This window comes from Homo sapiens, chromosome 4 (genome assembly GCF_000001405.40).
Source record: "Homo sapiens chromosome 4, GRCh38.p14 Primary Assembly".
Taxonomy (NCBI): domain Eukaryota; kingdom Metazoa; phylum Chordata; class Mammalia; order Primates; family Hominidae; genus Homo; species Homo sapiens.
This window is the reverse complement of record NC_000004.12, coordinates 64,973,024-64,985,058: the sequence shown is the minus strand read 5'-3', so window position 1 is coordinate 64,985,058 and position 12,035 is coordinate 64,973,024. Positions and strand designations below refer to the sequence as shown.

At 32.8% G+C, this 12,035-nt stretch overlaps 1 long non-coding RNA gene across 1 annotated transcript in view; it reads left to right on the top strand.

The window, feature by feature from the left end:
* LINC02232 (long intergenic non-protein coding RNA 2232) overlaps window positions 1–12,035 on the top strand; it is a 90,220-nt gene that overhangs the window by 19,442 nt on the left and 58,743 nt on the right. The window contains exon 2 of the long non-coding RNA NR_033976.1: window positions 7,430–7,570. This is a non-coding gene — a long non-coding RNA (long intergenic non-protein coding RNA 2232). The remainder of the gene's footprint in view (window positions 1–7,429; window positions 7,571–12,035) is intronic.

The window sequence follows — 12,035 nt, the reverse complement described above, 5'->3', positions numbered from 1 at the left end:
GTACGTTAATTTACTTAGCCAATAATTTCATCTGTCTTACAAACTCCCACTGATTTAATCAAGACCCAAAATATCACCTGCTGGTAATCAGCCAGACATAGTCACTTCTTCATTTCTGTTCCCTTAGTACTCTAAAAAGTACTACACAAACTATGCATGCAGAATTGTAATTATTTGATTGCATTAGTATTTTTCTACTAAGATTATATAAAATACATATAATAGTTTTAATCCCCAGTAACTTGCCTAATCTCAGAAACATTTGAGCAAGTATTCATGATATGTTTGTTTAGTAAATATTAGCCTTTCATCTTATACATTTCTTCAAGGGTATATGACAAGGGGAAGAAAAAGAGCCATGTATAATAGCAACTGCAATTATTTCAGTCCTTCTCCATGTGTAGTATATGTGACAGACCAGAGGTTAAACTGAGAGTATATACTGAATATGGACCACAGACTGTTTTTGGTTTATTTGTTTTATTTTTGGCTTGCAAGTGTTTTTAAACTGTACCTATTACCTACAATTACAAATCATATTGCACATAATAACCTGGATATTGGATGTCCCTTTAGAAGCAATCAAACCATTGTTCCTGTGTTTCATCATGCTTGACCCTTTAGACAAGACATATATTCTCTGATTTGCCACACTTTCCACCATTCCCTATTATTTCCTGGTCACTGAAGCTAAAATACCAGTTGAGATTTATTAGCCTACAACCAGGAACACAATGGCCATTTTGTTCTGGGTTCTATTCATTAGTTGGGTTTGGAGTCCCTGTTAGAGGTAGTTTTTCTTAAGATAATATCTGATGCTCCTCTCTATAATATAACAAGTAGATATGTCCCATATGTCTTCTTTATAGCCAGGATTTGTGCTCTTTGAAAGAAAAACTCAGGAAGTTTATACTGATAGAATGAAAGTAGGGTACAGCAGATAATGATTCATTAGCAATTTCTTGTATTTGTAAAGAATACAAATTCTTTTTTTTTTTTTTTACTGGAGTGCTAATAAAACATAAGTAATCATCCACATCCCATTCCTAATGTAAGCACCATTAACTAATTTATAATTCTTGGAGTACAAAATGCAAGAATGAATCTATTCAAGGAGTGGAATAATCAGTGGAAAGTACAAACAGAATGACCATTTGTTAAGGAAACATCAGCAAAGAGCAACATAATACAGCGGTTGGTGTATAATCTACAGTGTCAAAATTCTAGCTTTAACATAGCTTGACTGCTCTGGGACAATTCAATCTCTTTATGCTTCAGTTTATTTGTCTTTAAAATCGGAAATATAATAATGCTAACTTCTTAGTGTATGTCAGGATTAAATAAGATAGGACCTATAAAGAAGTTAGAAAAATGTCAGACACATCAAATGACTTAATAGACACAGGAATACATCAAAGATATTGTAGGTTCAGTTCCAGACACAATAAAGCAAATATTTCAACAAAGTCAATTATAATTTTTTTGTTTCCCAGTGCATATAAAAGTTTTACTTGCACCATACTGTAGCCTCATAAGTGTGCAATAGCATTATGTATAAAAGAAAAATGTACATACTTGAATTAAAATATTTTATTGCTGGACAAAGGTTAACCATCATCTGAGCCTTCAATGAGTGATAACCTTTTTGCTGGTGGAGAGTGTTACCTTGATCTTGATTGCTGACTGATCAGATTGGTGGTTGCTGAAGGTTGAGGTAGCTTGTGGCAGTTTTTCAAAGTGAAACAACAATGAAGTTAGCCACATAAATTAACTCTTCCTTTTATAATAGATTTTTCTGTAGAAAGCGATGCTGTTTGATAGCATTTTACACATGGTAGAAGTGGGATCAATCCTCTCTAAATGCTGCTGATTTATTAACCATGTTTATGATGTATTTTGAATATTTTGTTGCCATTTCAACATTGTTCACAGCATCTTCACCAGGAGTCGTTTCCATGTCAAAAAATGACCCTCTTTGCACATCAATAAGAAAAACTTTCTTTCAAGTTTTATCCTGGGATTGCAGCAAGTTAGTCATATCTTTAGGCTCCACTTCTAATTCTATTTTTCTTGCTATTTCTACCATACCTGCAGCTATTTTCTCCACTGAAGTTTTGAAGTCAAAGTCTTCTATGAGAGTGAGAATCAACTTCTTCCAAACTCCTGTTAAGGTTCATATTTTGCCTTCATCTCATGCATCATGAATGTTCTGAATGGCATCTAGATTGATAAATTCTTTCCAGGAAGCTTTCACTTTACTTTGCCCAGACCCATAAGAAAAATTGCTGTCAGTGCCAGCTATAGTCTTATTAAATATATTTTTTAAATAATAAGACTTGAAAGTCAAAAATACTCATTGATTCATGGGCTGCAGAATAGGTCTGGTGTTAGCAGGCATGAAAACATTAATCTCTTTATACATATTCATCAGAGTTCTTGGGTGACCTGGTACGTTGTCAATGTTGGTAATATTTTGAAAGGAATTTTTTATTCTGAGTAGTAAGCCTCAACAATGGGCTTAAAATATTCAGTAAACCGTGCTGTAAACAAATGTGCTGTTATCTAGGCTTTGTTGCTCTATTTATAGAGCACAGGCAGAATAAATTTAGTATAATTATAAGGGTCCTAGGATTTTTGGAAGGGAAAATAAGCATTGGCTTCACCTTAAAGTCACCAGCTGCATTAGCCCCCAACAAGAGAGTTAGGCTGTCCTTTGAAGCTTTGGAGCCAAGCATTGACTTCTCCTGAGATATGAAAGTCCTAGATGATATCTTTTTGTAATATAAGGCTGTTTTGTCTACATTGAAAATCTGTTGTGGCCACCTTCATTTTCTTAGCTAGATTTTCTGTATAACTTGGTGTAACTTCTACATTAGCATTATTATTTCAGGCAGAACTTTTAAGTTGTCAGATGACTTCTTTCCTTAAACCTCGTGAACCAACATCTGCTAGCGTCCAACTTTTCCTCTGCAGCCTCCTCACTTCTCTCAGCTTTCATAGAATGGAAGAGAGTTAAAATCTTTTTCTGGATTAGGCTTTGGCTTAAGGGACTGTTGTTGTTGGTTTGATATATCCAGACAACTAAAATGTTCTCCATATCAGCAATAAGGTTGTTTCACCTTCTTTTAGTTCCTGTGTTCACTGGAGTTGCACTTTCAATTTCCTTCAAGAACTTTCCCTTTTCATTCACAATTTAGCTAACTGTTGACACGAGAGTCCTAGCTTTTGGACTACCTCAGCTTTAGGCATACTTTTCTTACCAAGCTTCATCATTTCTAACTTTTTATTTAAAATGAGAGACATATGACTCTTCTATTACTTGAACACTTAGAGGCAAGAGGCCACTGTAGGATTATTAATTGGCCTAATTTCAATATTGTTGTGTCTCAGAAAGTAGAGAGGCTAAATGAGATGAGTGAGAGAAATGGGGAAATGGCCAGCCAGTGGAGGAATCAGAACGCATATATTTATTGAGCAGGTTCGCCATCCTAAATGGGTGTGGTTCATGGTACCCAAAAACAATTCCAATAATAATTGCAAAGATTATTGATCAGATATTACCATAACAGATAATAATAATAATGAAAGTTTAAAATATTTTGAGAATTACCAAAATGTGACACAGAGATTCAAAGGGAGCACATGCTGTTGGAAAACAGTGCTGATAGACTTTCCCAATGCAGGGTTGTCACAAATCTTCAATTTGTAAAAAATGCAATATCTGTGAAATATCATTAAGCAAAGTGTGATCAAACAAGGTATGTCTGTATTAGCTACACGAATAGTCATACATGACTTAATCATGGCAATTTGTTCTGAGAAATGCATCAAGCGATTTCATCATTGTGTGAATATCAGAAAGCATATTCACTCAAAGCTAGATGTTATAGCCTACTACACACCTAGGCAATATGGTATAGAAGATTGCTTTAAGAATATGAACGTAGACAGAATGTTAAAGGACTGAATACTGTAGATAACTGTAACACAGTGGTAAGTATTTGTATATCAAAACATACCTAAACATAGAAAATGAACAGTAAAAATACTGTATAAAAATTAAAAAAAAGTTATATCTGTTTAGGGCACTTACCATAAATGGAACTTACAGAACTGGAACTTACTCTGGGTGAATCAGTGAATGAGTGGTGAGTGAATGTGAAGGCCTCGTGCATTGCTGTATGCTAAGGTAGACTTTATAAACAATATTAACTTAGGCTACACTAAATTTATTGAAAATATTTTTTCTTCAATAATAAATTAAGCTTGGCTTACTGTAACCTTTTTACTTTCTATGCTCTAAAATTTTTTAAACTTTTTGACTCTTGTAATAATACTTAGCTTAAAACACAAATGCACAGCTTGGGCAACACAGTGAGACTTCATCTCTACAAAAAATTAAAAATTAGCTGGATGTGGTAGTGCACACCTGTGGTTCTAGTACTTGGGAGGCTGAGGTAGGAGAATCTCTTGATTCCAGAAGTTCCAGGTACAGTGAACTATGATCACACCACTGCAACCCAGCTGCCTGGGTGACAGAGAAATACCCTGTCTCTAAACAAACAAACAAACAAACACTGCAAACACATTATACAGCTATACAAAAATATTTTCATTTTGTATATCCTTTTCTGTAAGCTTTTTAATTTTTTTATATATTTATTTCTTTACTTAGTAAACTTTTTTTGTAAAAAACTAAGACATAAACACACACATTAGCCTAGGCATAAACGGGGTCAGTATCACCAATATTACTGTCTTCCACTTCCATATCTTGTACCACTGGAAGGTCTTCAACGGCAGTAACAGGCATAGAGCTGTCATCTTCTATGATAACAATGCTTTCTTCTGAAATATTCTGTGAATGACCTTCCTAAGGCTGTCCTACATTTAACTTTTTAAAAATTAAATAGAAGGAGTACACTATAAAATAATGATAAAAGCATAGCATAGTAAGTACATAAACTAGTAACATAGTCTTTTTTATCAAGTATTATGAACTCTACATAACTGGATGTGCTATAGGTTTATATGACTCACAGCACAGTAGGTTTTCTTACACCAGCATCGCCAGAAACAGCTGGGTAATGTGTTGGGTTATGTTGTTAGGAGAGCTATGGCATCACTAGGTGAAAGGAACATTTCAGATTCGTCATAATCTTATGTAACCACCATCCTATATACCATCTGTCATTGAATGAAATGTCACTATGCTGTGTAGGACTGTATACATATAAGAAAATTGCTAATGGATAGGTATTAGTCAGCGTTCTGTTTTAGTATAGGCCTTGCCTAGCAAAAGTATTGAAACAGAAAAATTTAAAGTAGTACACTTTTCAAATTGGATAAACCAGATAATGGGTGTTTTACTGTTATTAAGCCAAAGCATATTGCTACAGCATTGATAGATGAGTAATTTTCAATATTTATATAAAGTTAACATTTAAAATAAGTTACTCGTATTGTGTTATTTAGCAAACATAAATGTATTTCAAATGAACCTTTTAAATCTCAAACTTTCCTTGGCAGAGACTAGATTCTAACTTTAGAGGGGATTATTGCAGTTGCCTCCCAAGCAAAATATCTGTACAAATGCTTGAGAAGTGACTGTATTTGAACGTTACCAGAAGCTGGAAGTGTAATTTTCAAAATATCAGCAAATGGTTTCCCTAAACTATCTTCTTAGGTTACCATGAGAGAGACTTTATATTTCTCCCTGGCCTCAGCTGGAAAAAAAGTAACTAGACTGAGTGTTACCTGGAAATTTCTCTCATTACTTGGAGTTATTTTTCTTTATTTTGTTTTCTGTCTCCCAGTATTAAATTGTTCTTAGTATTAAAACCTGAGGTGAAAAGTAATTTCATTCCAACACTGGCACAAGTTTGAAATTTGCTACCTAATCTAATAGTCTGTACACTGCTCCAGATACTATTTGCACAACTGCAGAAAGTGAGAAAGGGAGTTGAGAAAGGGCATGTTGAATGGTTTTGAGTGGGATAATATGAAGAGTTTTCAGACATAGGATAGTATACATTTTTTGTTACTTGTTTTTGTGAGTTTTTCCAGATATCTTGATCTACTCAGAGATATTTGTTTAAAAATAATTTCTATCAGTATCTTAGTAATATAATGTCTTTTTCCAACAATTTAATACAATCCAAAAACTTTACTAATGAAAGGTAGTATTTTCTTTCTAAAAACTCTTACAGGACTCATGCCACTTACCAATGCTATTTAAAATTTGGTTGTCATACAATTCATTATTTAAACTGGGACACTGATAAGAATAAAAAGAGGTGCAATTAATAATTATATTAGGGATTAGGAATAAATCAGACTTACAGGCAAATTAGGGTGCACTGGTGTCACAATTGTAACAATATTTACTAGCTATTTTCTTTCTCACATAACTTGCTCAGGTTAGCAATTAAGAGTTGTAAAACAATCCCTAAGAATTGCTTTTATATGAAACAGTTTAATAGGTGTTATTTGAAGAAAAACCGAAAAGCTACTCATGAAAATAAGGAATTTAGTAGCAGCGTTTAAATCTAGATCTAGTATTCAAAACCCACTAAGAATTCATCCAGATGGCATGCAGGAATGGCCTCTACTATTCTCAATTGTTTGATAGTTTTAGCCATAAATTAAAATAAAATTTGATTTAAAGAAGTATTAATTAAGCAACTTGAAATGCTCTGTTTACATTCTGATATGGGTTGCACATCACTTTTCGAAAGGTTTCTTTGCAAATTTTATCCACCTGAAAAGACAGTCTTATAAGTTAAGGAGATGAAAATTTTTATTTTTAAGTGTTTTTAAGTGAGGACGGGGGTGAGGCTGGGTAAGTCTTCCTCCCTCACCAATAACAAAAGCACTGTTACACATGTCAAGCCTGGACCTTAGACTTGATCTTGATCTTGTTTCACACCCAGTAACGTCTCATCATAGTGTCCTTCAACAATTGATCTGAAGCAAATATAAGCTCATCTTTTTTTTTACTAGCACACTAGTAGAATATTTCATTCTACTAACTTTCAGATTGATATAGAAGTAGATAAATCATGTCTGGCAATGCAGTGAGTATCCATAAGGATTAGTGTATCTATCTGCTTACTCTATACTTTGTTTCTGTTGCTTTTTGAAATATTACTTTATGCAGCTTAATGAAATTTGATGGTAAATTTATTAAATATCTTTATATAATACTTACATATTATATATAAAATATTTACATTTACATATTTTTTCTGTGTAGAAAATTCTGCTATGGGTCTATAATTTAAGAATTTTTAACCCTACAGTTTTGTGTAATGATGGTATAGAGGAAATTCTGTATGCATCAGTCAATAAAAACTCATTTTTGCCATGCTTTCTCCTCAGCAGAGCTCCTTTTTTTGTGTGTTTAGAAATTTCCTAATTCTATTTCCAGACATTCTACCTCAGAAGTTATTTGGAGGAATCCAAGGACTTAGATATTTTACCAATGTCTCTGGTGATTTTTATATCGGTGGCCCATGGGTGTTGACCTATGAAACTGCTCTGCAGCAGATATTGAGAAATAGGAGTTCAGGTAAGGCTCCTATGAGCTATTCTAGTATTACTTCCTAAATGTAGTTTGTTAACATTCCAAACAAAGAAGCTTAATAGTCTCTTCAGTCCATTCATATACTCAGTAAATGTTTACTAAGAACTCTGCTGGATGCTGAGATGAAATGGTACACAAAAGAGACAGGTTTTATTCCTCTAAGTATCTAGTGAGATAGACAGCTCAGGCAAAATGATAAGGACAACAATGAAACATACATAGTGGTAAGGAAGCACACAGAAATATTCTTAGCCAGAAGAGAAATTCAGAGAAATATCCTCAGACTGTCATCTAAACTAAGAACCAAAATTTCATATGATTTAGTTAAATGAAAGAAAAATAAAGGGGGGAAATTATCAGGCAATATAAGCTAGTTTGGGGAACCAAATGATTAGACTTTCTGGAGCACAGTGTATATGGGGCTATTAAAGGGGGGATGATGGTAAGAGAGATGTGACTGGTTTGGGAACATTTCATCAGATCTTGAAATAACTTGTAAACAATATCATAGCGTTCAGATTCAAACTTAATTCTTAAGTCTAACAACTTTAATTTAGTCCAATGTTCTCTTGAATCAAGTTGGTATTAAATATTTCCTTTTGCTTCATGTCTATTTTGTTTCCAAATGATGTCTGATGCTTTTCTAATACTTAGAACTACAAAGAGGATTACTAAAATATTTAAAATATGTTTTTTGTAGTCTTGCCATACTGATTTTCTCTATTTTTTAAATAGCAGTTCTTATAATTCATTTAAAAAGGTGCCTAAGTTCCAATAAAATATCCTATGCCTGTTTGTGTCAGTAGTTGGTTTTATTGCAAGCATACCACTTCTAATTGCATAGATTCCTCTTCGCTGTTTTTCTTAAGAATACATTCAACTGATGGGTTCAATACCCCAGCAGCTTTAAAGTCATCATTAATTTGATGTCACTCACTCTTCATTTATTAGTAGTCCTAAGTTCTTATCAACCCTGAAATATTTGGAGAAGCTGACCTATACAATTTGATCCCAGTTGCAAGCATTAATTAATCAAGGTCCCTGATTGCCCTTATGTTTCCCTGACAGCTTTAATATTGAAACAATCTTTACTGGAAATGTTCATCGCTGTAACTATAAGACTATCTTTTCAGGTGTATAAAATTTGGAAAAAGACCTTTAGAAAAGTGATGTGCAAGTCATATCAGAATGTAAACATAGAGCATTTCAAGTTGTTTAATTAATACTTATTTAAATCAGATTTCATTTTAATTTATCGCTAAAGCTATCAAACAATTGGGAATATTAGAGGCCATTTTCTACATATTGTCTGGGTGAATTCTTAGTGAGTGTTGAATACTAGATACAGATTTAAACACTGCTACTAAATTCCTTATTTTGATGACTAGCAAGACAGTAGGTGTTGAGGCAATACACTCTTGTCAAAATGAAAGTCTGATTTCTAAAGATCCTTCGGTAGTTTATACTCAAGAAACTACTAAGCATACCACGTTAAATATTGTTTCGCTAACTGAGTTATTATCCAATTTTACTATCCAGTTTGGCAGAGACACATGTCTATCACTTTTGATAAATCTCTGCTTTCCTATGAGCTTCTAACCCAGAGCTAGAATGTTAATGCTGTTCATTTTTTGCATTAGTTTAGCACACTAAATAGATTTGAACCTCACTTGAGGCTGTCAGGAAAACCAAGGGCACTTTGGGAATCTCCACTGAGATTCAGCTAGCCTTATCCTTCTTTCCTGTCTTTTTCTCTTATAAAATATGTAAATAAAACTCAAGAAAAGTGTTTGAGGTGAAGTATTATCTTCTTAACAACGAAGCAGTCAAGGAGCTTTGATAGTGTTATATTTAAGAGCCTTTGAGACTTTATGTAATGATGTTGAGATTTAGGCTTAAAATCTACTTAGGTAAACACTACTTAATATGCATTACATAGGTTTATTAATGCAGAAAGAAGCATCTTTGTTGTCCATGTGAATCCAAAGAATTGACTTGAGATAAAAAAAATTACTTTAATCACATTTTACAGAAAATTTTAGGGTCATTATAGAAACTGCTAAGTTTCTGTAGAAACTTCTACAGAAACTGGTAAGTTTCTGTAGAAACTTCTATAGAAACTGCTAAGTCTATAGAAACTGATAAGTTCCTATAATGACCCTAAAAATTTTGTGTAAAATGTGGTTAAAGTAATTTTATACTTTAAATTTTATCTAGAATAAAATTTAAAAGAAGATAAAGACATTCATTTAATAAATAAATTCAATCACAGATGCCCTACATGACAAATTTAAAATTGGAATTAGAGAAAAAGTACATAGATAAAAAATATTCTACAATGGAAATATTCATATTGATGTGCTTACTAAATTTGAAGATACTTAATAATGGTTATCACTGTTAATGTTCTTATTATGGGAATTAAGTAATGGGATTAATAGACTTGACAGATAAAGAGCCCTTTCTTTTCCTCATTTCATTTGTTTGGTGCCTAGAAATTTTTTTGAGGTTCTAAATAGAGTAACCAGTGTCAACCTAAAAAGTCACTAAAGAAAATTTTCCCAAAATATGTTGCGTTTACTAGGAAATGAGAAATGAGAAATGAGAATTACAATCCAAAATGCACAGAATGGTAAGCTACCAGTGCATTTGGTGAGGGAAGGGTAAAGAGAAGCTTTTATTTGTGAAAAGGAAGAGGTTCACATAACCTGCTTAGAAACAGAGTTCATTGATGTAGTTCATTGTTGGAGAGGCTGTTACTTGGCAATTTCTCATTAGAATTACTAATTAGAATTACTAAAGAATGTCCAGTGATAAACCTCTCAGAGGTTTATCACATGGGTGAAGGATGTGAAAGGATTTTTGTGGGGTTTTACATATTTATATATACAATAATTACATATTTTATATATATGTATAATAATATAAGCAAAGAAACACAGAACCTCTATGTCTTTTGCTATTGAGTTGGATGCATAAGATGAAAACGATAAAACCGCTAGACACAAGCCTTCAGGTTTTCTTTTTAAGTTTTGCTGTTGCTATTGAGTCAAAGTCTTCTCCTTTACATAGTGTTGGTATAAAGACCATGAAATAATTTGTGTTTAAGAGAGTTTGACATAAACAAAGTTTACAAAATATATGTACATGATTTTTTAAAGCATGCAAAGTATAAATGAAGAGTCTTCCTTAATTTACCACATTCTAAGGCTTAAATTGTAAGGTTAATTACAATTAGACCTTTATTACATAAGCATAACTATTCATACTTAAGAAATGGGGAATCAAGACTACTCTCAAAGTATCTAAATCAAAATAGAAGACAAGACCATGCTGCCACCCATGCATGACCCATGGGTGCCACCCATGCATGCCACCCATGCTGCCTCCCATGCACGACCCCCATGTCTTTGCTCTTATCTGCATCCTTTCTCATTCTGGTTGCTTGGTGTTGTCTTATGGATTTATTTATTAAGGAATATCATGTTGCTTCTTAATTTCTTCAGCTTTCTTGGAGCTGTCAGGCAAGATTGACACTTAGAAAAATCATTTCAAGCATAAGTTTATGTAATACACCCATACATCAAATTCTACAGGCCATATTAAGCAATCTGAATTCAAAACAACATTTTTATCCATGAACTTTAATAAATATAACTTGTAACGACTTGAACAATTTGACATCATTATTTCCTGAAGTAATCAGAATTTTTCTAATTATATAATTCTTAAAATTTTGCTCTAGGTGTTAATTGAAAAATCTTCCAATGAAGGGAAAAATTTTGAATATTTTCAAAACTGTAAAGAGCTTTATTATTACATTAAATGTGTATAAGTCATTTCTAAAGTCAAAATTTAATTAGAAAATAAATATCCAAATTATTGCTAGAAGTAAAGTAGCTAGGGAACAACAAATCCATTAAAAGTAACATGGAACTGTCATATTGAAGAGACTTGCATAATTTTCATCTCAAATTTTCAACTATTTTCTTATACTTTTTTCATAATGGTTCTGAGAGAAATTAAAATAATCCTGAACACTTGAGAGGTGGCCTATATGGAAATGTATAATACCATACCTTACAACGTAGCTCCATGGACTAATTTTATTGGATATTTAACTACTGAATGTGGTATTACAGCTTTTTTTTCCTAAGCAATTACATGACTGGAGAAGAAGAAATCTGCATAAATCTGCACTCAATTTTTTTGGTTTCCCTAAAGATCTTCTCAATACAAAGGAGTTGTCACAGTATGGATCACTTGTAATAATATTTGGCAATTTGAGAAAATTGCTGACCATCCAGTAGCTGTTTAAATATCAGTAGGAATTTTTGTAGCCTTTCAGTGAAAAGGAATCATTCTAATAGCTTTCTTTTGATACTTATTCACATATTTCTGGTAGAGTCAAAGTGTTTTTAAAATTAATTATAATGTTTTCCTTTTAAAT